A 26,439-nucleotide genomic window follows, 5' to 3' on the forward strand; every position below is an offset into this window, starting at 1 on the left:
GGCAGAGGTTGCAGTAAGCCAATATCATGCCACCGCACTCCAGCCTGGGTAACAGAGTGAGACTCTGTCTCAAAAAAACAGAAAACAAAAAAACTAAGTTCCCCACAAAGTTATTTCAGACTTTGCCCAGGAATGAACAAGGACAGCTTGGAGGTTAGAAGCAAGACGGACTTGGTTAGGTTGGATCTCTTTTACTGTCTCAGTTATGTTTTTGCAATGGCGTTTTCAATCCCTTCCTTTGGGTTTTATAACACCTTAATCTTAAGGTGTTGGCTAATGAAGATGGAGAAAGGGCAAAGACCACTCTAACTTCTTCCTGCTGACCAGGGGCATAGTCGGGGTAGGTGTTGACCCCAAGGTGAGAGGACTGGAATCATTTTGCTACTGTCTGAACATACTCACGCAGGATGGCTGAAAAATGTGTTAGTATTGTCATCTATAATTTTAGTATTGCATTTAAGGGAACAGCACACTACAAAGTAAATAATGAGTTCTAGCATAAGGCATGCAATTCCAACTTTTAAAAGTAAAGATTTGAAAACATTAATTTGGAGACTTGTAGTCCATGAATAATTTAGGATTTAGTCCAAACTGCAGAAAAAACTCAAGAACAACTAACAATGATTGTTTTTTATTTTTGGAGCATAATTTTTCTGTCTCCAGTCCCCATTTTTTAATTAAAAATAAATCACAGTAGGTCAACTTTACTTGCAAAATAAGTTTTAGTCTTATTATGCTCTGCCTGATTACTTGCATAAGTGCAGCAACAATAATTATTGTTCACATAGGCTTTTTAAATTGGCTTTGATGGAACTCTGTTCCATAAGGAATCTCAAACAAGACTTTTTTAAAGCCAGGCCAAGCCCATGGGTTTGTACCCTCAAATAACCATGAGTTGGGTCAATTCCTCTCCTCTTGAGGTCCCAAGATAACTTGGGGCTCCTGGGCCTGTTAGAAAGTGACATTCTTTACTCACCACAGATCAGGAACCCTGTACAGGGACTGTGTAGACAAGGCATGAGGCCAGTTTTCCCAAGGGGCTTTGTTTTCTCTGTTTTGTTTTGTTTTTGAGACAGGATCTTGCTCTGTCACCCAGACTGGAGTGCAGTGATGCAATCTCTGCTCACTGCAACTCCATCCCCCAGGCTCAAGCAATCCTCCCACCTCAGCCTCCCAAGTCGCTGGAACTACAGGCATGTGCCACCACACCCAGATAATTTTTGTATTTTAAGTAGAGACGGGGTTTCACCAAGTTGCCCAGGTTGGTCTTGAGCTCCTGAGCTCAAGCTATCTGCCTGCCCCGGTCTCCTAAAGTGCTGGGATTGCAGGCATGAGCCACCATGCCTGGCCTCAAGAGGCTTTTATTCCTTAAAGGCAAGCATACGATTCCAGTCAAAGCCTTGGTAAAATAACCAGTTTCTTCAATTTTGTCCTGTTGCAAATGAAAACATTCTTATTGCACTTATGGAAGTAACTATATTGCCATAAGAATACTCACAAATAGTTACCAAATCCTGGCAAAATCAGGAAGAGAGAATCAAATATGCTCCAAATTTTGTTTACAGATGTGTACTTTACTCAATATTAAAAGCTGTAAATAGCTCAAAAGAAAGGTTTTCTTGGCTCTGAAAAACAAAAAATGATCAGCAATGTTTTAAACAAAAAGTCAAAAAAAGTTGCCTCAGTCTTCTATTAGTTCAGCCCATGCAGTTAACTTCCATTCTGCTTAGTATTCATGAACATTTCAGCTCTCAATGAGAGTCCTGAAAGTTTTTCCTCTATTCTAATGTCACAATCTCCAAAGTTTTCAGAAACCTGCATTTAAGAGCACCTGTCAGAGTGTTATAGCTGATTATAAAACCATTTAAAGAGGATCAAAAGACAATAATTGTCTGTGGATGACAAAAAGTTTTAGGCCAGCCACAGTTAAAGACACAATTGACAAGGAAATTTGTTACTTCTGGGGAACACAATAATTTAACATAGCAATTATAATTATTAATGATAACATATACAAAGTCATATCAGAATTACAGGAGTTTCACATAATTTTGGAACATATATCAATAACACAAAAATCTTTTTCAAAAGAGAAAACCAAATTTCATGTTTGCATTAATGCCTCTTTAATGCTAAAGCTAGTTTTTAAATAAAATGTTATAAATTATCCAGTTTTAATTAGTTTGACCATAAGGTAAGGTTTTTATAAACTTTTTTAGAACACTTTACAATTTTCCATTAAACAGCAGATTAATTTTCTAAGAAAACCCTTTTGTTTAGACACAGGGGCCCAGATTCTGGCCCGGCATTAGTGTGCTTTTATGTTCAACATACAGAAAAAAATTAAATAATCCCCTTCAAAACTTAAGACCAACCCTTCACAAACACTTTTCAACTTGCTTAAACCTTCAGTTTTGTCCTGTTACTCTTTTAGGTTAAGACGATCTTTAAAGCCCTCTGAACTAGACAAAATTACATTCCCTTTGACAAAAGCCATATTCCCTTACCTTATTTAATCCTTTAGCTAAAGCACATTCTACTTTCCTTACACATCTTGCATGTAAAACAATTTCTCCAGCAGTCTCAATTACACGTTACAACGTTAACACTTAGCAACTTTTGTTTTTGATGAAAACCCTGATAAATAAGTGGTTTTAATTATGTACTAAGTGTGGAGCCTAGGACATCAGACAGAAATGCAGATAAGGTCTGCCTCCAGCATAGCTAGGGGGCATGGCTAATTCCACATGTCCCCAGACCTTAGCTAGAATTTCTAATGGCTCCAAAGTAGGTAAGTCTAACAATTTTCGAAAGTCAAAGAAACAGTTTATGACTTTAAAGCATTTAGCAAACCTAACATCTGACCTTATTTAGACCAAACATCTAAATTGTGAAGACATTTTTTATTTACCAGTGATCTTTAAAACTGTTTTTATTTCCAAAAGATCACTGAAATTATGTGAACAAACAGGCATTAAAAAGTTTCTATTTTTCTGACAAAATACTTGATTTAAGTGCTTATTTTTCTAAGCCAATTAGAGCTCTTTTATACAAACATCATGCATACAACACATATACATAGACAGACAGACAGAAGATCTGGTACTTGTAAGATTTTTCATTTGCTAGTTTCTTAATTGGATTACTGGCTTCAAGGTGACACCCTTGGAGGAACAGCACCAGGAAAGCATGGCATTTCTAGGGCCCAATAAGAAGGCATAGCTAGAAGGCAAAAACATATCCCCAAAATTAAGGGTGCCATTTGTATACTGCATCCTGGATCCCCCCAAAAGAGGGAAATACTATGGGAGAAGATAGTGCAATACTTCTACCATGCATGTCATTGCAAAGCAACCCAAAGCCAATTAGCCCATTTTGAAATCAGCCCATCCTCCATGGGAGTCTCCTCTCAGTTCGGGGTGGGGATATTTCCATACCTTCCAGGTGGCCAAGAGCATGCTTCTCTAATCCAAAAATCCAAGAGCCAAGTATCCCTCTTAACTGCTATTAGTTATCCCTTAAAGTATATTTCCTACCTGGTTATTACACACCAAGACTAAAAGCTCTCAAATAATGCAAAGTAATTTTTGATACCTGCCAAAGTAAAAAATGTCAGGTAATGTAATATAAAACAGAATACAGCCTTAGATTTTGAGAGGGATCTATTCTCTTTCAATTCCTAGGGTTCCATGAGAAAAACAGAGCTTTTTCCCAGAATGGGGTCTGTGGCACCTCCTCTGTTTTTCCCTAAGAGTCCCAGGCTGTTAGAATTTATCTTAGGTTCTTTCATGTGGGCATCAAGAGTGTTGAGAAGACAAAAGTGGAGAAAAACAATTCAGTCAACTGAGAAGAAAAAACCTTTTTTTTCTTTAGAAAAATAAGATCCAAGAAGAGAAAAAAAAGTAAAGGTATTTTAAATATATGTACAGTTTGGATATCTGCTTTTAATGAAGCTGATTTTAACCATACAGCTCTTTAAAAAATTATTTTTTAAATATCTAATTACTAGACTCTAGCCAGCACAGACAGTCAATGTTCCTTGCTTTTGAACTTCACCACAGGTAACTTCCCATGTGAAATTAATGTTTTAAATAAGGTTATAATGGATACACATGGTGATTCAAAGAGAGAGTAATCAGTTTCTTTCTTTTTTTTTTTTTTTAACAAGATTTAGAATCTTCCCAAGGTAGTTCAAAGGAAAACTCAAGAGGAGAAATCAAAAGTGGTCCATGGGGGAAAAAGAATCAATAAGGGTCAAAAAGTTACACAAATAAACCAGAAAAGACTCATTCCCTAAGCCAAGAATTGAACCTGGGATGCCATTGTCAAAAGACAAGGCCTTAGCTACTGAGTTACAGCATTGAGCAATTTCTATTGCTCTTCCTAGAAGAAGCCTAGAGCAGCCAATTTTGAGCTTGCAAAGGCTTTTAACTGCTCAAGATAACTTTTAGGGTTAACTATGACATGAATCCCCAAATTCCTGTCCTCTGGGTGGCAGAGACCAAGAGAAAGTATCCCCACATGGTCACAAGATTGGGCTCTTAAGGACACAAAACAAACAGATAAATTTCATCTAGTATTGGTTTCAGGGACACACAGCAAAGTTTGTAACTGAGCAGCCTGCCAGGATGGCTTGAAAAGTGGGCTTACAGGAGTCTTAAACCCACATTCTATTCTGTGATTCCCTTCTCTCCATTACAGAAGAACACAGAAAGACAAATTCTTAGCACAAAGTACACCAGATTTGCTACCACCTAAGACTAGTCTCACAAATGCTTTCTTCTACTAATCAAACCCTTGCAGAGGAGACAAACAGTGATGTTTATCATTTATACAAATACACACACACACATACACACACAGAGAGAGAGAGAGGAGAGAGAGAGACAGAGACCAGAAACTCGGCTGGTGAGAAATTCTTACCCTTTTTACCAGCATACCAGATTTCTGTGTTCCCTTTCTCTGAAGCTTCCAGAAGAATGGAGCAGCTTTTGATGAATCTGCTTACTGTGCCATAGCTGTGGGGGCCAAGCCCTGTTACAAAAGAAAATCATCCATTTCTGTTTTATGGAACCGTAGGCAAAAGCTTCTCACTTTTGCAAGATGCTGCCTGACGGGTTGCATGGGGAACTGAATTAATATTTTCCATCCCAGCCGAAGCAAAATACACATAACTAAACAGACACTAGTCACCTCGTTCAGCACCCAATATTGACCTGGCAAGGCTCAAATTTTCTCATGTTGGTTCCTATAGTCTTTGATCCACTCCAAGTGGAGAGGGATGACTTCCAACCGGTAATTAAATGGGTGGTCTCTGGGCAAGATGAAGAGTGGACAGTCACCCCATGTCAGGCCTGTTGAGCTTTCTTCAGGGCTCACCAGATGTAACCTGACTTACGGAGGGTTCTCTGAGTTAGGCCTGCTGGACTTCCATCAGCAATTCCCTCAGAGATCCCCTCAACATATACAAACACACACACAACAAAGACAAGACAGACAGAAGGCCTTTGAGACACAGATTCCAGACCCAGTCACAAACCAAGAGTATTCCTCCAAACAAGTCCCCCTATTCTCCATCCAATTAGATACCCCACCAGTAGACATCTCGTGATGGGGCTAAAAACAGACACACCATGATGGGGCTACAGACAGACATCCTGCAAGGCAACCAAGAGACAGCAGCACGTCCAGAGAGGCTGACAAATAGGAGAAGGAAGGGGCTGTTGGCAGCACCTAGAATACTCACCAAATCAGATACCCCATAATGGGGCTACAGCTACAGACACTACGTGATGGGCTACAGACAGACACCCAGTGATAGGGCTAGAGTCTCAGACATCCAGTGGTGGAGCTGGAGACAGACACCCCACCATGGGGCTACAGACAAACATTCCAGCATGGAGCTACAGTTATGGGATATCTCCCAGGACTATTTCTGTATTGCAATTAAATCCATGCCCATTGGATCAGCAGCACCCCACCAGTAGAGCCTAGAGTCCAAGAGAACTAGGTGGCCACTTGGGCTGGCCTCTGGATCTGTTGCTGGAGGGAGTCTACCAAACCACGGGCAGGCAGCCACAAGGGCAAGCCCCAGCAAGCCCCAAATTTGTAACTGCCCATGGGTTCACCTTGTCTGCTGCCTAGACAAAGTTAATTTATCCAGACAGGGGAACTGCAGTAAAGAAAGTAACTCATGCAGAGCCAGCTTTGCGGGAGACTGGAGTTTTATTATTACTCAAATCAGTCTCCCCAAGCATTCAAGCATACAGAGATCGGCGTTTTTAATGATAATTTGGAGGGTGGGGGAAAACCAGTGAGTCAGGAGTGCTGACTAGTTGGGTCGGAGGTGAGATCATAAGGGGTCAAAGCTGTCTTCTTGGGCTGAGTCAGTTCCTGGGTAGGGGCCCCAAAATCAGATGAGCCAGTTTATCAATCTGGGTGGTGCCAGCTGATCCATCAAGTGCAGGGTCTGCAAAATATCTAAAGCACTAACATTTCATTTTATAATAGTGATGTTATCCCCAGGAGCAATTTGGGGAGGGTCAGAATCCTGTAGTCTCCAGCTGCGTGACTCCTAAACCATAATTTCTACTCTTGTGGCTAATTCATTACTCCTACAAAGGCAGTCTAGTCCCCAGGCAAGAAGGAGGTTTGTTTTGGAGAAGGGCTGTTATCTCTGTTTTAATCTATAAATTAAAAACTAAGATCTCCCTGAAGTTGGTTCAGACCATGCCCAGGAATGAAGAAGGACAGCTTGGAGGTTAGAAGCAAGATTTTAGGTCAGATTTCTTTCACTGTCTCAGTTATGATTTTGCAGTGGTGGTTTCACAGACACACTGCTAATCCCCTTACCTAATCCATTAGACTTTGCCCCAGCCCTTGAAGTTGTCTCCCCTGGCCTGCCCAACACACAGGGCACAGCCTGTACTTTCACCAGTAATCACCCCTTCCCCAAATGCACTGGAATCCCACTGATGACAAGGCCTCATTTCTTAACCAGGATGTGGTAAAGTGTTCTATACAGTATAAAAGCCCCCAAAAAATTTGGTGATGAAGACGGATCAATCTCTGGAGCCCCAGTAATGACAAAAAAGGAAGTGTGTATGTGTGCGCACGCGTGCATGTGTAGGTGCGGGGTGGGGGAGCATTACAAGATGTACAAGGCAGTGGAATGGATTTTTGCAGTGGAATGACTTATGGAATCAGTCAGGTCCTTTGCTTTTAGATACCTCCCACAGCTCTTAGCTGTGCATGACTGGTTCTTTCAGTAGCTCCTGCTCTTAGCAGCTAAGAAGGTCTTGCTTGGAGAGATGAGGTACTTGCCTTCACTTACCCACTGAATTTAAAACCCAGTTTAACCCTCCTTGCTTTATGGGGTTTCCTCACAGTCTTCTAAGCATGTCCTTCCAATGGGTGAAGCTGAAGGAGAAGACCCCAGGAATGGCTTAAGAGCTGAGGGCCACTTTAAGGAGACACTCCTTGGACTTTAAATTATGAAAACAAAACACAGAGAACCAAAGCAAAAGCCACTGGAATAATGACATAATGGCCACACTGGAGTTGTATTTGTTTTCTCCTGAGCAATAACACTTTAAAGCTGTCTTGAAGGTTGTTGCCTGGTAGCAGAGATTTGGAGGAGGGGAAGGCAAATTTAGAAATATATTCTATGACTAGGGCTCTTTATAGAGAAAGTAAAAGGAAGAATTGATAAGGATTCTGTTTTTTCAGAGCAGAAGAACTTGATAAGGAGTCTTAAGAAGCTGACATTTTAAAAACAAAAAAAAAGTTGTTATTATAGTATTGTGACATTCTGCATAATTTCCTAATGAAGACCAGCATTCATAGTGCTGAGGAACAGACTTTTCCAGGCATTTTACTGAATAAGCTGTAAAATGCTGCCTTTGACTTTGCTGGTGGCCTGCTTGGCATAGCTTCTCTAGGTCTCTGCTTAACGTTCCCAGACAGCACAGCACTTCGAAACACTCTCCCCACTGAATACAACTAACAAGTTCTTGATAAATCTCTACTATCAAAACTTATTTGGATTCTTACCTGGCAGGGGAGATGCCATGATCATGAAGGTGGTTTTCCCAGGCTGAGGCTCATCCATTGCACTCCATAGGTGTGCTTACCACTGTGATTTCCCCAAATGCGGGAAACTCAACAGCATAATTTGTGGTAGTGAGGAACTGCATTCGTGCTTTCCCCTGGGGAAAAAAAAAAGGAAAAAAAAACTCATTTGGAGTTTAAAATATAATTAATTAAAAATTAATCCTGTGGGGTCACGTATCTAAGGGAGACTTTAACCCATCAGATACTGGATCTGGATAACCTGCAATAACCCAGTGTCTGTGATGGGTTAGTCTCCCCTTAAATTATCACAGATACTGGGTTATTGCAGGTCTGGATTACATAGTGTACTAACAAGAAAAATCAGTGTGCCATAGGTCCTTGGTGTTCCAAAAGTCAGAACAGTTATAAAATCCTGACTATGGCTTTCTCCATTGCTTCATCAGCTATTCAGTTACTCACACCTAGCTATTCACAACAAAAGAAAGAAGCAACAAAAAACCAAAAACCATAAAGTTTCTTGAAGAACTTGGAAATAAGGTTGACAACGAACATTAAACTAGTAAAATCCATATGCAATAAAAGAGATTAATAGAGGCCACCCTGAGGAACCATTAACATACTTTCCATTAACAAACCTGAAGAAAGCACTAAGAAGAGTTAGGAAAAGAGAGTCAGAGAGCAGGAATTTTAGTCTAGAACTACCCAAGGAGAGAGGCACTTTGGTAGTGGTGGCAGTGCTGGTGGCACAGGAAGAATGGAAGCAAGGAGACCAGTTGAGGTTCCTGCTATATGCCAGCCAAGAATGGTGATTTGGACTTGGATAAATGGTGGAAGTGGAGGTGGAGTGAAGTAGACAGATACAAGATTTATTTTGGATGTAGGATCCATGGAACTTGGTAAGGTGTTAGCTTGTGGGAGTTGAGGAGAAGATAGCAGAAAGGCTGACTCCCAGATTTCTGGCATGACTAACTGGATGGATGAAGATACTCTCAGCTGAGATTTGGGGAGGACCCGATTTGGGGAAAATATCAAACGTGTAATTTTGGGTAGGCCAAGTTTGAGATGGTGTCTTTGTCTACTTTGTGTTGCTATAAAGGAATATCTGAGGCTGGGTGACTTATAAAGGAAAGGCTTATAGGGCTCATGGTTCTGCAGGCTGCACAATAAGCATGGTGGCAGCATCTGCTCAGCTTCTGGTGAGGGGCTGCAGGTTGCCTCCACTATTGGCAGAAGGGAAGAGGGAAGGAGAGCGAGCACGCGCTGAGATCACATGGTGAGAGAGGAAGCAAGAGAGAGCAGGGAGGTGCTAGGCTCTTTTTACCAACCAGCTTTCATGGGAACTAACAACCAGCATAACAGAGTGAGAACTCACTCACTTTACCTGCGCCCACCAACCCACAAAGGGAGGGCATTAATCTATTCATGAGAGGTCATCCTCTCTGACCCAAACATTTCCCATTAGGCCCCACTTCCAACATTGGGATCAAATTTCAACATGAGGCTTGGGGAGACAAACATCCAAACTATAACATTCTGCCCCTTCCCCCCAAACTCATGTCCTTCTCACATGCAAAATACAGTCTACCCCAGTAGTCCCAAAAGCATTAACTTGTTCCAACATCAACTTAAAAATATGAAGTCCAGAGTCTCATCTGAGACTCAGGGCAAATTCCTTCCAGCTATGAGCCTGTAAAATCAAAAACAAGTTATTTAGTTCCCAGATGCAATGGTTGTACAGGCATTAGGTAAAGATTTTCATTCCCCAAAGGAGAAACTGGCCAAAAGAAAGGTAACAGGCCCATGCAAGTCTGAAACCCAGTAGGGCAGACAGGCAGACATTAAATCTTAAAGCTCCAAAATAAACTTTGACTCCATGTCCTGCATTCTGGGGACACTGGTTTGAGGGATGGGCTCCCAGTGCCTCAGACAGCCCTATCCCTATGGCTTTGCTGAGCGCTGCCTACATGGCTGCTCTTATGGTTTGGAGTGGAGTGCCTGAGGCTTTCACAGACTGAGGTGCATGCTGCTGGTGACTCCATAATGCTAGGGTGGAGGGCAGCAGCCCTTCTTCCACAGCTACTAGGCACTGCCCTAGTACAGTTTCTCTGCAGTGGCTTGCCCCTGTGGCAGGCTTCTGCCTGGGCACTCAGGCTTTCCAATACATCCTCTGAAATCTAGGTGGAAGCTGCCCAGCCTCTACCACTCTTACATTCTGGGAGCCTGCAGACAACACCATGTGGAAGCTGCCACAACTTAAGGCTTACGCTCTCTGGAACAGCAGCCTGAGTGGTACCTGGGGCTGTTTGTGCTCAGGTTAGAGCTAGAGCAATTGGGATGCTCCCCACATCCTGTGGTGGCACAGAACAAAAGCACCCCAGGCCTGTCCCCTGAAACCATTCTGTCCTCATAGGCCTCTGAGCCTGTGATGGGAGGGATGACCTCAAAGATTTCTGAAATGTCTTTGAGGTCTTTTCCCCATTGTTCTATTAGCACCTGGTTCCCTTTTATCCATGGTAATCTCTCTAGCAAGTGGTTGCTCCATATCGCCCTTGGATTCCTCACCTGAAAACATTCTTTCCTTCTCTACCACATGACCAAGTTATAAATATTCCAAATTGTTTTGCTCTTTCTATTTTATTTAGAAATTCCACCTTTAGATCATTATTTTGCTGCTGTATCTGATCATAAGCTGTTAAAAGTAGCCATGCCACTTCTTGAATGCGTTGCTGTTTAGAAATTTCTTCCACCAGATACCCCAGGTCATCACTCTTAAGTTTGGCCTTCCACAAAGCCCTAGGCCATGAACACAATGCAGCCAAGTTCTTTGCTACGGCATAATATGGGTGACATTTGCTCCAGTTCCCAATAAGTTCCTCATTTCCATCTGAGACTTTGTCAGCATGGCCTTTACTGTCTATATGTCTATAAGCATTTTGGTCACAACCATTTAACCAATATGTAAGAAGTTCCTAAATTTTTCTAGTCTTTTTGTCTTCTTCTCAGCCCTCCAAACTCTTCCAACCTCTGCCCATTAACTAGTCCAAAGCCATTTCCACATTTTTAAGTATTTTTTTTTTTTTTGACACAGAGTCTCACTCTGTTGCCCAGGCTGGAGTGCAGTGGTGTGATCTCGGCTCACTGCAAGCTCCATCTCCCAGGTTCACGCCATCCTCCTGCCTCAGCCTCCCAAGTACCTGGGACTATAGGCACCCACCACCAAACCCGGCTAATTTTTTGTATTTTTTTTAGTAGAGACGGGGTTTCACCATGTTGGCCAGGATGGTCTCGATCTCCTGACCTCGTAATCCACCCGCCTCAGCCTCCCAAAGTGTTGGGATTACAGGTGTGAGCTACCGTGCCCAGCCAAAAAGTAGTGTTTTAAGAAAAAAGTGCTCAAGTGTTTAAGACTGATAAGAAGTCAAGAGGGAAACCAAAGAATATCTAGTGGATTCAGCAACAAGGAGGTAATTGGTCATCATGCAAACGGAGTTTTGGTGAAAAGATGGGAGTGGGAGCCATATTGGGACGGGATCATTCATCCATTTATTCAGCAACTATGTAATAAGTGTCTGTGACATGCTGGTACACGGTGCTGGGGATACAATGAATCTGACAGACACAATCCCCACTTAGGGGAGGAGAAGCCATTAAGCAGATAATCATAGAAGTAATGACTCAAACACAATTATGGTAAGGGCTATGAAGGAAAAGAAAAGAAAACCATGAAAGTGTGTAGCAGAGGAACCTAGTCTAGCTTGAAAGCAAGGGAAGTTTGCCCTGAGGGAGTGATAGATAAAGCTGTACTTGAGAGACTTGAGTTGTGACAGCAGTGAGGCTAGGGAGGGAGATTGTGTGTTCCAGGCAGAAGGAACCACAAACGTGGAGTCCAAGAGGGCGAGACCATCATGAAAAGTCAGCAGTGTGGCAGAATCACAGTGAACAAGGAGAGAGTGGCACAAAACAACAAAAACAACAACAGCAACTAGAGCCTAGCAAGTGACCCAACCCAGGGGTTCACATAGATCCTCCAGTGTTTTACACTGTAGGAAATGCCAGGGTGCAAGAAGAAAGGTAGTGAGAAGGCCTATGGCTGAAGACCTTAGGGCAAAAGCTGGAAAATTATACTTCTCTAGGGTTAGGATTTCACTCTGATGTACAAAGTCTATTTTTTTTCAAGCCAAAAATAATCCAATAGCACTGACTTTTATTCATTCATGTGAAGTCACCTGAAATGATATCCGTTGCATTTAAATGCTCATTAATAATATAAATGACTTAACAAATCCATTTCAATGGATATTCAATATTCCACTTAGATAAGTCACACAGCCTCATGACAACGCATATAACATATATAAACAGACAGAGATAAACACCCCCTCCCCCTCAGTTGATTTATTCAGCATGTTAGAGCAGTGAAGAATGGTTTCAGTCTTATAACCAAGTTAGAGTGAAGACACTGGCCACATAATACACATGCTGCATTTGTAAAACAATTCTGAGTCTTGGGCAAATGTACTCTTGAAATCTTACAGTTTTTAAAAGCAGTTATTGTCCAAAGCTTGGAGAACTTAAGTCTTCTCAAATGAGCATGTGAATGAATGGAGGGAGGTAAACAAAAATAAAATTTAAAAAGATGAGGTCTGATATGGGAGCAGCTGGATAAGAAACTAAAAAGGGGCCGGGCACGGTGGCTCACACCTAGAATCCCAGCACTTTGGGAGGCCAAGACAGGCAGATCGCTTGAGCTCAGGAGTTCGAGACCAGCCTGGGCAACATGGTGAAACCCTGTCTCCACAAAAAATTAAAAAAAAAAAAATACAAAAATTAGTCAGGTGTGGTGGCACACGCCTGTAATCCCAGCTACTTGGGTGGCTGATGCAGGAGAATTGCTTGAATCCAGGGGGGCAGAGGCTGCAGTAAGTGGAGAAAGAGAGAGAGAGAGAGAGAGAGAGAGGAGAGAGAGAGAGAGAGAGCGAGAGGAAGGGAGGAAGGTAAAAAGGAATAGCAATTTAAAGTTTATTTCAGCTATAATGCAGGTTATTCTGACTTTGAGGTAGCATCACATGGCATACTTCTGAGTCAATTCTCGAGATATTCTGTTGTGTTTATCTCTGTCTGTTTATATAAAAAGGCACAGTGAGACATTTCTGAACATGGGAGGATCTCAAGAAATATTGTTTCCATGAGCATTCCTTGAAGAAAGTACTAGAAGATGAACTTACACCAACCAATAAATAAATGGGAAAACTATGGCAAAAAGAGAGGTCATCAAGAGCAGGATAGGGAGAAGATGAGAAAATATTCTAATTTCATTATTTAGTCATATTAGGGGATTGATAGATAATGCCTAAAAGAGGAAGATTAAGTATATAAATTATAAAGACAATCACTAAAACAAAAATATAACCTTTCCAGATTTTCAGAAAAAATAAAACCAAATACCACAACATCAGAGTTTTTAAAGGATCTATGAAATATAGAAGGCATCATATAAAATTATATAAATAATTAAGACCAAGTATGTCAATTTAATAAATATAAATGTGCTAAGCTAATGTATTAAAATAAAAGAAATTTCAGTCACGTGTGGTGACTCACACCTGTAATCCTAGCACTTTGGGAGGCTTAGGCAGGAGGATCGCTTGAGCCCAGGAGTTCATGAACAGCCTGGGCAACATAGTGAGATCCCATCACTATTTTTTATTTAAAAAATAATAAAAATTGAAAGTCAAATAAAATAAAATAAATTTGGATTAAATCATAAAGGAAAATCCAACTCTATGCTGTATACAAGGGATCCAAAAAAAAGTAAATACAAAATCTTTACAAATGTAAATTAGAAGAAAGCAATGGTTATAATTTTTTTGTTTTTTGTTTTTGTTTTTTTTCTCTTTCTTCCTTTTTATTTTCTATTACAGTTTAAATTCTAGAGTACATGTGCACAACATGCAGGTTTGTTACATAGGTATACATGTGCCATGTTTGTTTGCTGCACCCATCAACTCGTCATTTACATTAGGTATTTTTCCTAATGCTATCCCTCCCCCAGGCCCCCACCCCCTGACAGGCCCTGGTGTGTGATGTTCCCCGCCCTGTGTCCATGTGTTCTCATTGTTCAACTCCCACCTATGAGTGAGAACATGCGGTGTTTGGTTTTCTGTCCTTGTGATAGTTTGCTGAGAATGATGGTTTCCAGCTTCATCCATGTCCCTGCAAAGGACACAAACTCATCCTTTTTTATGGCTGCATAGTATCCCATAGTGTATATGTGCCACATTTTCTTAATCCAGTCTATCATTGATGGACATTTGGGTTGGTTCCAAGTCTTTGCTATTGTGAATAGTGCCACAGTAAACATAAGTGCACATGTGTCTTTATAGTAGCATGATTTATAATCCTTTGGGTATATACCCAGTAATGGGATCACTGGGTCAAATGGTATTTCTAGTTCTAGATCCTTGAGGAATCGCCACACTCTCTTCCACAATGGTTGAACTAATTTACACTCCCACCAACAGCGTAAAAGTGTTCCTATTTTTCCACATCCTCTCCAGCATCTGTTGTTTCCTGACTTTTTTAATGATCGCCATTCTAACTGGTCAGAGATGGTATCTCACTGTGGTTTTGATTTGCATTTCTCTCATGACCAGTGATGATGAGCATTTTTTCGTGTGTCTGTTGGCTGCATAAATGTCTTCTGAAGTGTTTGTTCATATCCTTTGGCCACTTTTTGATGGGGTTGTTTTTGTATTGTACATTTGTTTAAGTTCTTTGTAGATTCTGGATATTAGCCCTTTGTCAGATGGGTAGATTGCAAAAATTTTCTCCCATTCTGTAGGTTGCCTGTTCACTCTGATGATAGTTTCTTTTGCCATGCAGAAGAAGCTCTTTAGTTTAATTAGATCCCATCTGTCTATTTTGGCTTTTGTTGACATTGCTTTTGTTGTTTTAGTCATGAAGTCTTTGCCCATGGCTATGTCCTGAATGGTATTGCCTAGGTTTTCTTCTATGGTTTTTATGGTTTTAGGTCTTACATTTAAGTATTTAATCCACTTTCAGTTAATTTTTTTATAAGGTGTAAGGAAGGGATCCTGTTTCAGCGTTCTACATATGGCTAGCCAGTTTTCCCAGCACGTTTATTAAATAGGGAATCCTTTCCACATTGTTTGTTTTTGTCAGGTTTGTCAAAGATCAGATGGTTGTAGATGTGTGGTGTTATTTCTGAGGCCACTGTTCTGTTCCATTTATCTATATATCTGTTTTGGTACCAGTACCATGCTGTTTTGGTTACTGTAGCCTTGTAGTATAGTTTGAAGTCAGGTAGTGTGATGCCTCCAGCTTTGTTCTTTTGGCTTAGGATTATCTTGGCTATGCGGGCTCTTTTTAGGTTCCATATGAACTTTAAAGTAGTTTTCTCCAATTCTGTGAAGAAAGTCATTGGTAACTTGATGGGGATGGCATTGAATCTATAAATTACCCTGGGCAGTATGGCCATTTTCACGATGTTGATTCTTCCTATCCATGAGCATGGAATGTTCTTCCATTTGTTTGTGTCCTCTTTTATTTCATTGAGCAGTGGTTTGTAGTTCTCCTTGAAGAGGTCCTTCACATCCCCTGTGAAGTTGGATTCCTAGGTATTTTATTCTCTTTGTGGCAATTGTGAATGGGAGTTCACTCATGATTTGGCTCTCTGTTTGTCTGTTATTGCCGTATAGGAATGCTTGTGATTTTTGCACATTGATTTTGTATCCTGAGACTTTGCTGAAGTTGCTTATCAGCCTAAGGAGATTTTGGGCTGAGATGATGGGATTTTCTAAATACACAATCATGTCATCTGCAAACAGGGACAATTTAACTTCCTCTTTTCCTAATTGAATACCCTTTATTTCTTTCTCTTGCCCGATTGCCCTGGCCCATCTTCCAACACTATGTTGAATAGGAGTGGTGAAAGAGGGCATACTTGTCTTGTGCCGGTTTTCAAAGGGAATGCTTCCAGTGTTTGCCCATTCAGTATGATATTGGCTATGGTTTTGTCATAACTAGTTGTTATTATTTTGAGATACATTCCATCAATACCTAGTTTATTGAGAGTTTTCAGCATGAAGCGCTGTTGAATTTTGTCAAAAGCCTTTTCTGCATCGATTGAGATAATCATGTGGTTTTTGTCATCAGTTCTGTTTATGTGATGGATTATGTTTGTTGATTTGCATATGTTGAACCAGCCTTTCATTGCAGGGATGAAGCCGAGTTGATTGTGGTGTATAAGCTTTTTGAGGTGCTGCTGGATTCGGTTTGACTATACTAATTTTGCATCGATCTTCATCAGGGATATTGGTCTAAATTTCTCTTTTTTTGTTGTGTCTCTGCCAGGCTTTGGTATCAGGATGATGCTGGCCTCATAAAATTAGGGAGGATTCCCTCTTTTTCTATTGTTTGAAATAGTTTCAGAAGGAATGGTACCAGCTCCTTTTTATACCTCTGGTACAATTTGGCTGTGAATTTGTCTGGTCCTGGACTTTTTTTTGGTTGATAGGCTATTAATTATTGCCTCAATTTCAGAACATATTATTGTTCTATTCAGAGATTCATCTTCTTCCTGGTTTAGTCTTGGGAGGGTGTGTGTGTCCAGGGAATTATCCATTTCTTCTAGATTTTCTAGTTTATTTCCATAGAAGTGTTTATAGTATTCTCTGGTGGTAGTTTGTATTTCTGTGGGATCTGTGGTGATATCCCCTTTATCGTTTTTTATTGCATTTATTTGATTCTTCTCTCTTTCTTTTATTAGTCTTGCTAGCAATCTATCAATTTTATTGATCTTTTCAAAAAACCAGCTCCTGGATTCACTGTTTTTTTGAAGGGTTTGTTGTATCTCTATCTCCTTCAGTTCTGCTTTGATCTTAGTTATTTCTTGCCGTATGCTAGCTTTTGAATATGTTTTCTGTTGCTTCTCTAGTTCTTTCAATTGTCATGATAGGGTGTTGATTTTAGATCTTTCCTGCTTTCTCTTGTGGGCATTTAGTGCTATAAATTTCCTTCTACACACTGCTTTAAATGTGTCCCGGAGATTCTGGTACGTTGTGTCTTTGTTCTCATTGGTTTCAAAGAACATCTTTATTTCTGCCTTCATTTCGTTATTTACCCAGTATTCATTCAGGAACAGGTTGTTCAGTTTCCATGTATTTGTGTGGTTTTGAGTGAGTTTCTTAATCCTGATTTCTAGTTTGTTTGCACTGTGGTCTGAGAGACAGTTTGTTGTGATTTCTGTTCTTTTACATTTGCTGAGGAGTGTTTTACTTCCAACTATGTGGTCAATTTTGGAAGAAGTGCGATGTGGTGCTGAGAAGAATGTGTATAATGTTGATTTGGGGTGGAGAGTTCTGTAGATGTCTATTAGGTCCACTAGGTGCAGAGGTGAGTTCAAGTCCTGGATATCCTTGTTAGCCTTCTGTCTCATTGATCTGTCTAATATTGACAGTGGGGTGTTATAATCTCCCATTATTGTGTGAGAGTCTAAGTCTCTTTGTAGGTCTCTAAGGATTTGCTTTATGAATCTGGGTGCCCCTGTATTGGGTGCATATATATTTAGGATAGTTAGCTCTTCTTGTTGAATTGATCCCTTTACCATTATGTAATGGCCTTCTTTGTCTCTTTTGATCTTTGTTGGTTCAAAGTCTGTTTTATCAGAGACTAGGAATACAACCCCTGCTTTTCTTTTTGCTTTCCATTTGCTTGGTAGATCTTCCTCCATCCCTTTATTTTGAGCCAATGTGTGTCTCTGCACGTGAGATGGGTCTCCTGAATACAGTACACTGATGGGTCTTGACTCATTATCCTATTTGTCAGTATCTGTCTTTTAATTGGGGTATTTATCCCATTTACATTTAAGGTTAAATTGTTATGTGTGAATTTGATCCTGTCATTATGATGTTAGCTGGTTATTTTGCCCATTAATTGATGCAGTTTCTTCCTAGCATCAATGGTCTTTAAAATTTGGCATATTTTGCAGTGGCTGGTACTGGTTGTTGCTTTCCATGTTTAGTGTTTCCTTCAGGAGCTCTTGTAAGGCAGGCCTGGGGGTGACAAAAGCATTTGCTTGTCTGTAAAGGATTTTATTTCTCCTTCACTTAGGAAGCTTAGTTTGGCTGGATATGAAATTCTGGGTTGAAAATTCTTTCCTTAAAGAATGTTGAATATTGTCCCCCACTCTCTTCTGGCTTGTAGAGTTTCTGCCAAGAGATCTGCTGTTAGTCTGATGGGCTTCCCTTTGTGGGTTACCCAACCTTTCTCTCTGACTGCCCTTAACATTTTTTCCTTCATTTCAACCTTGGAGCGTCTGACAATTGTGTGTCTTGGGATTGCTCTTCTCAAGGAGTATCTTTGTGGTGTTCTATGTATTTCCTGAATTTGAATGTTGGCCTGCCTTGCTAGGTTGGGGAAGTTCTCCCAGATAATATCCTGAAAAGTGTTCCCTAACTTGGTTCCATTCTCTCTGTCACTTTCAGGTACACCAATCAAATGTAGATTTGGTCTTTTCACATAGTCCCATATTTCTTGGAGGCTTTGTTCATTTCTTTTCACTGTTTTTTCTCTAATTTTGTCTTCTCGCTTTATTTCATTAATTTGATCTTCAATCACTGATATCCTTTCTTCCACTTGATCGAATCAGCTATTGAATCTTGTGCATGCATCACAAAGTTCTCGTGCTATGGTTTTCAGCTCCATCAGGTCATTTCAGGTCTTCTCTACACTGTTTATTCTAGTTAGCCATTTGTCTAACCTTTTTTCAAGGTTTTTAGCTTCCTTGCGATGGGTTAGAACATACTCCTTTAGCTGGAGAAGTTTGTTATTACTGACCTTCTGAAGCCTACTTCTGTCAACTCGTCAAACTTATTCTCTGTCCAGTTTTGTTCCATTGCTGGCGAGGAGCTGCAGTACTTTGGAGGAGAAGAGGCACTCTGGTTTTTGGAATATTCCACTTTTCTGCTCTGGTTTCTCCCCATCTTTGTGGTTTTATCTAACTTTGGTCTTTGACGTTGGTGACCTACAGATGGGGATTTGGTGTGGATGTCCTTTTTGTTGATGTTGGTGCTATTCCTTTCTGTTTGTTAGTTTTGCTTCTCACAGGCCTCTCAGCTGCAGGTCTGTTGGAGTTTGCTGGAGGTCCACTCCAGACACTGTTTGCCTGGGTATCACCAGCGGAGGCTGCAGAACAGTGAATATTGCAGAACAGCTATTGCTGCCTGATCCTTCCTCTGGAAGCTTTGTCCCAGAGGGGTACCCACCTGTATGAGGTGTTAGTTGGCCCCTACTGGAGGTGCCTCCCAGTCCGGCTACACAGGGATCAGGGACCCACTTGAGGAGGCAGTCTGTCTATTCTCAGAGCTCGAACACTGTGCTGGGAGAACCACTGCTCTCTTCAGAGCTGTCAGACAGGGACATTTAAGTCTGCAGAAGTTGTCTGCTGCCTTTTGTTCAGCTATGCCCTGCCCACAGAGGTAGAGTCTAGAGAGGCAGTAGACCTTGCTGAGCTGTGGTGGGCTCCACCCAGTTCGAGCTTCCTGGCTGCTTTGTTTACCTACTCAAGCCTCAGCAATGGCGGATGTCCCTCTCCCCACCAGGCTGCAGCCTTGCAGGTCAATCTCAGACTGCTGTGCTAGCAGTGAGCAAGGCTCCATCGGTGTGGGACCTGCCGAGCCAGGCACGGAAGAGAATTTGCTGGTCAGTTGGTTGCTAAGGCTGTGGGAAAAGTGCAGTATTTGGGTGGGAGTGTACCCTTTCCTCCAGGTAGAGTCTGTCATGGCTTCCCTTAGCTAGCAAAGGGAAATGCCCCAACCCCTTGTGCTTACTGTGTGAGGCAATGTCCCGCCCTGCTTCAGCTAGCCCTCTGTGGGCTGCACCCACTGTCCAATCAGTCTCAATGAGATGAACCAAGTACTTCAGTTGGAAATGCAGAGATCACCCATCTTCTGTGTCAGTCTTGCTGGGAGCTGCAGGCCAGAGCTGTTCCAATTCAGCCATCTTGGAAGTGACTGCAATGGTTATAATTTTAACATCAGGCAAGGCTAACATCAGGACAAACAAGTATTAAGGGGTACAAATAAATAATCTATAATGATAAAAAATTGCAGTTCACAAGTTACAATGTTATGAATACCTAGGCACCAAATAACTTAGCACCGACATGAATATTAATTAAAACATAAAATCACAGGATGTACAAGAAAAAATGGAAACACTGTAGTAGAAGCCAAAACAACAGAGAAGGGCTAAATACCATAATTAATAACAGATAAAACTTGGTACTCAAGAAAGAGAATACACCTTTTTTTTAAAGTATCTGTGGATAATTCACAAAAATTGACCATATATTAGGCCAAAATGAAAAATTTGTGAGGTATAAACTATAGAAAAAGTACAGATAACATTGTCTAAATACAAGGCAATAAAAAAGAAGAGAAGAGCCAGGTGCAGTAGCTCATGCCTATAATCCCAGCACTTTGGGAGGCCAAAGCTGGTGGATCCCTTGAGCCCAGGAGTTCGAGACCAGTCTGGGCAACAAGGTGAAACTTTGTCACTACCAAAAAAAAAAAAAAAAAAAAAAAAAAAACACACACCAAAGAGAAGAGAACACTTTATAACTTGTTTTATGAGGCCAGCATAACCTTGATATCCAAAACAGACAAGGACATTATAAGAAAGGAAAATTACATGATGATCTCTCTCATCAACATAGATGCAAAAATTCTGAACAAAATATTAGCAAATCTAATTGTATTAATACATTCAAAGCATGTATAGCTTTTTTTTTTTTTTTTTTTTGAGATGGAGTTTCACTCTTGTTGCCCAGGCTGGAGTGTAATGGCATGATCTTGGCTCACCACAACCTCTGCCTCCCAGGTTCCAGCAATTCTCCTGCCTCAGCCTCCCGAGTAGCTGGGATTGCAGGTATGTGCCACCATACCCAGCTAATATTTTGTATTTTTTAGTAGAGACGGGGTTTCTCCATGTTGGTCAGGCTGGTCTTGAACTCCCGACCTCAGGTGATCTGCCCTGGCCTCCCAAAGTGCTGGGATTACAGGTGTGAGCCACTACACCCAGCCAAGCATGTATAGTTTTTAAAAGCTCAACAACATGATCTGATATGCAGTCAGGTTTGATCCACTGTTGTACATAATATAAGATGTCATCATCACAGACCATAATAGTAAATTCCCAATTGAATTGCCAATTTAGAAGCTTGACTTTTCCCGGTCACTTCAGCATTATGTTGGAAAAGACTGAACCTTAAAATCAGACTGATCAGGGATGGAATCATAATTCTTTATTTATTTTTTCTTTTTTGAGACGGAGTCTCCCTCTGTCGCCTAGGTTGGAGTGCAGTGACGCAATCTCGGCTCACTGCAAGCTCTGCCTCCCAGGTTCATGCCATTCTCCTGCTTCAGCCTCCCGAGTACCTGGGACTACAGGTGCCTGCCACCATGCCTGGCTAATTTTTTGTATTTTTAGTAGAGACAGGGTTTCACCATGTTAGCCAGGATGGTCTCGATCTCCTGACCTTAGGTTCTGCCCGCCTCAGCCTCCCAAAGTGCTGGGATTACAGGTGTGAGATCACCACGCCCAGCCAGAACCACTATTCTTAGAATTTACCAGCTATGTGATTTTGGACAAGTTACCAAACCTGTTAGTGTCAGTTTTTTTCAGCCGTAAAATAAGAATAACACTAACTCTCAGTAATGTTCATTTGTGGAATTAAGGAGACACAATTTATACAGGCAATATGTTGGGATGACACCCCAAATAATATAAAATCAATGAGAGCCAAATAAAAAGGATGAGGTTAGACACCAGTAGAAATGACACAGCCAAAGAGATTATTGGATTATTTGTGGGTGTGTAATAGTCTCACCAACACCCAGATCAAATTTAAGTGGCCTGGGTATACTGTCATCTTTGGAAAATAGGAACTGGACTGCACCGGATTAGGTTAAGTCTCAACCTAATCGGTTGCATAATAACATAGGACGAAAACAATGTGCCAATCCCCACAGTAGGAACACCCTAATAACAGACATGGAGGCATCAGGCCACTGAAGCAGGGTGGCATCAGCCATTAGAACCATGGAGCCTCCCGTACCCCACCCGTGGGGTTTCCTGCTCACTGGGCCACCTTCTGCTGACATTTTTACAGATGTGCCTACGGAAAGGGGATGACATGATGAGCCAACAAGCACATCCATCAAATCCTCTAGAGCAGTATCAGTGGAAATCTAAAAGCCCTAGGACTCGGACCTTGGCCACCTCACTGCCCTTAGTGCCTGGGTGATGCTGGAGAGGATATTTGCAAGCCTCCATCTTTTTCTCCCATCCCAGTCTAGTCAGTTTATATGGCAATGAGGTGAGGAAAGGAAGCTTTGGTGATTCAGGTTTCTGGGGTGGCCACTACATGATTCATCATGACAAGACTGCAATGATGATTTCTCAGACTTAGCAAATACTAGCACTTATCCCTTCTGAAGTAAAGCAGGTCCATTATGAGATGGTTTTTAATATGGCCACTTCTGGTATCTTTCATTTTTCAGAGAACATCTTGTATAACTCAAACTCCTTCTCCTCTCCTTCCTTAGTGCTGTGCCCTTGTTTGCTTCTTTCATCTCCCAGAATGCAGTCTGAACTTCAGTCACTTCCACGGCCCCCCTTTTCCTCCACACTACGCTTTTTCCCATGATCATTCTGAATACTTGTCACTGACCCTGTGGAGATCTCTTTCTCCACAGTTCATTTCCCAGTTTCACTTTCTCCTACTCAATGATGTCCATCTCCTACCCATTCCCAGGTTATGCTGAGTTTAACCACAGTCCATCATGCCAGAAAGACTAGTATGTGACGCATGGACAAAATGCTGTTTATTTTTCATGGGACAAAATGTAATGTTTTCCTGAAGGGTTATTGTTGTAATCTCTACCTGTACCAGACAACAGACAGGCTGACCTTTAGAAGGTAAAACTAAACTTCTTCCTTTTCAACTCACCCCTGTCACCATGTCAACTTCTAGGGGTTGGCAAATAAGGAGGTAGAGCTTGTTCTGTTTGATCAGTATTCTTTGCACTTAATGATCCTTATGTGCTCCAGCTTTGGCAGTTAAATCAACAATATTAATTTTGTTTTCAGTATGTGCAGAGCACCAAACCACAAGAGAAAGTGCATGACAGACAGACTCCTTGTCCTGAAAGAGATGACACTCTATGGGGAAAGACCACCCCTACTCCAAGAACACATACAACCACTCAAATGATTCAAATGGAAAAGTAGGGTGAGCGTCATTCTTACCACAAGTGCAGTCATAGGTGTGCTCCCCAAATCAGCCTGTATGGAGGCTAAGAGCACGGGCTCTGACACTTGCCATCTGATTTTAGGCAACTGCTTAAGCTCTCTAAGCCTCTTTCTTCTCTGTAAGATGGGATACCCATAGTCTCTGCTTCATAGTGTTGTAGTGAGGATTAATTAGCACATAAAAAGTGCTTAGCACAGTAATAATAATAGCTAGTTTCTTAAGCATTTACTTTATACCAGCGTGGCAGCTAAATAATGGCCATGAAAGATATCTAGGTGCTAATCCCTGGAATCTGTGAATGTTACCTTAATGGAAAAGGGGTCTTTGCAGATGTTATTAAGTATCTTGAGATGGGGAAATTATCTTGGGTTACCTGGGTGGACCCTAAATGTAATCACAAAGTGTCCTTGTAAGAGGGAGATAGAGGGAGTAAAATCTAGGAAGGGTTTTACTGAGGAAGGCAGCAATGTGATGATGGAAACCAGATACTATGCTGCTGGCCCTTGAGATGGAGGAAGGTGCCACCTTCATCCTAACCTAATATAAAAATCCAGATTTACAAAACAAGTCAGTGAAAAGATAATTATTTTTTCCTTGTTGCAACTTCTTTCACTCTGGACCCTGGGTTATGGGGTTATGGGATTGGTGAGGAGTGGTTTGGGAGAAAGCTGTGGCTTGAGGCTCTTCAGGTCTCTCCCTGGCCTAGAATAAAGTGGGTCAGGAAGGTTCTGCACATGTGAGTACAGGGTGTGGTGTGTGGTGAAGCCTAGTGAGGATGGTAGATTAGTAAGTATGATCCCTGGATACACCTCCCCACTATCAATGAGGAGATGGGAAGAGGTGAGAGTTGGATGAACCAATACAAGGGAGTTCTTTAGAATAGTGCCTGGCTGTATTCATTTCCTATGGCTGCTGTTACAAATTACCACAAACTTGGTGGCTAAAAACAATACACATTATTCTCTCACAGTTCTGGAGGTCAGAAGTCTGAAATCAGTGTCACTGAGCCAAAATCCAAGTGTCTGCAAAGTCGAGCTCCCTCCAGAGGCTCTAGGGGAGATTCTGTTTATTTCTCTTTTCCAGCATCTAGAGCTGCATTCTTGGGCACCTTCCTCCATCTTGAAAGCTGGCAGCATAGCATCTTGTTTCAGTCATCACCTTGCCGCCTTTTTCTGTATATAAGAAGTCACCTAGGCAAGCAGTATGCTAAATGATTAATGATCAAAAGCTTAGTTGCTATTATGGAAGACTCTACCAGACTGGCTCCTTATCGTTGCCATTCAGAAGCTATTTGTGTCTTCAAGGAAGCTGCTTGAAAGAAACACAAAAAAGAAACCAACATTTGTCCTTGTGGCCTGAGTCACAGGGAAACACAGAACGGAGAGAACCAAGTTTCCTATCTGTGACCTGACTCCACCATAGCCTAGACCCAAGTGATGCCTATAGCACTTCCAAAGTCCCTGGGAGTTTGGATCCAGGCCAGGACTGGTTACCAGTGGGACTGGGTCCCGGCTCAGTATCAAGATCTATCTGTTTCCCCCAAGGGTTTTCCAAATTTCCTAGGGTACCTGAGTCTGGGGAACAGCCTTTAGGACAGCACTGTCCAAGAGAAGTACAGTGGTCTCTTGGGATATACAGAGGATTGGTTTCAGGACACCTCCAACACAGCTACCAAAATCCGCGATGCTCAAGTCCCTTATATGAAATGGTGTAGTTTGTGCTTATAACCTACACACATCTTACTGTATACTTTAAATCATCTCTAGGTTACTTATAATACCTAAGACAATGTAAATGCTATGTAAATAGTTGTCATATTTTTAAAATTTGTTATTTTTATTGTTGTATCGTTATTTTTTCCCAGATATTTTTGATCCACAGTTGGTTGAATCCACAGATGCAGAACCCACAGATATGAAGGGCCAACTGTATAATGTGGGCCATGTACAGTTTTATTTATTTATTTTTTTAGAGACAGAGTCTCGCTCTGTCACCCAAGCTGGAATGCAGTGGCACAATCATAGCTCATTGCAACTTTGAACCCATGGGCTCAAGTGATCCTCTTCTCTCAGCTTCCCATGCAGCTGAGACAACAAGGATGCATCACCATGCTCAACTATTTATTTTTTCTGTAGAGATGAGGGTCTACACCCTATATTGCCCATGGTGTATCTAACTTTAAATGGTCAAGTAGCCACATTAAAAAAGGAAAAAAAAAAAGAAACAGTTGAAATTAATTTCAACAATATATTTTATTTAAACCAATATATCCTAAACATGATTTTAACATGTAATCAACATGAAAGTTATTCTGTTTTTGCCTGGGCACGGTGGCTCACGCCTGTAATCCCAGCACTTTGGGAGGCCGAGGTGGGCAGATCACTTGGGGTCAGGAGTTTGAGGCCAGCCTGGCCAACATGGTGAAATACCACCTCTACTAAAAATACAAAAATTAAAACAAAATATAAAAATAAATTAAATAAACACACATACAATTCAAAAATTAGTCAGGCATGGTGGCAGACACCTATAATCTCAGCTGCTCGGGAGGCTGAGGCACGAGAATCACTTGAACCTGAGAGGCATAAGGTTGCAGTGAGCAGAGATGGTGCCACTGCACTCCAGCCTGGGTGACAGAGGGAGACTCTGTCTCAAAAAATAAAAATAAAAATTATTCTGTTTTTGCGCTAAGTCTTCACAATCCAAGGTGTATTTCACACTTAATACATCTCAGTTCAGACTAGCCACATTTCAAGTGCCCACTAGCTACATCTTGCTATATTAGACAGCACAGGTCTACAGCAACTTGACTTGCCTGCTCCTACCCACTCTACCTCGCACTCTCATCAAATGCAGAGACAGTGCCAGGGATTTCATGAGAGGTGGGCCAGAAAAGCTCAGGGGGACTTTTTTTTTTTTATATAAGGCAATAAAATATGTTGCCCAGGCCGGCCTCAAGCAATCCTCCTGCCTGGGCCACCCAAAGTGCTGGGAACCTGTAAAGGTGTGAGCCACAATGACCGCTCACTTTT

The 26,439-nt window shown here is 41.4% G+C and overlaps 2 pseudogenes across 2 annotated transcripts in view; one reads left to right on the plus strand and one right to left on the minus strand.

Annotated features, from left to right (window-relative positions):
- Positions 1-8,123, minus strand: part of SORD2P (sorbitol dehydrogenase 2, pseudogene) — a 58,948-nt pseudogene extending 50,825 nt beyond the window's left edge. Inside the window, exons 1-2 of one of the 2 annotated variants that reach the window (NR_146394.1) lie at positions 8,053-8,123; positions 4,924-5,034 (exon numbers count right to left, since the gene is read on the minus strand). The product of NR_146394.1 is annotated as a sorbitol dehydrogenase 2, pseudogene, transcript variant 2 (transcript). Of the gene's footprint in view, positions 1-4,923; positions 5,035-5,746; positions 6,049-8,052 lie in introns of those variants that run through there. The other variant, NR_146393.1, reaches the window with a different exon arrangement.
- RNU1-119P (RNA, U1 small nuclear 119, pseudogene) lies at positions 8,045-8,209 on the plus strand (annotated as a pseudogene).

The sequence above is a fragment of the Homo sapiens genome, chromosome 15, assembly GCF_000001405.40.
Source record: "Homo sapiens chromosome 15, GRCh38.p14 Primary Assembly".
Classification (NCBI taxonomy): domain Eukaryota; kingdom Metazoa; phylum Chordata; class Mammalia; order Primates; family Hominidae; genus Homo; species Homo sapiens.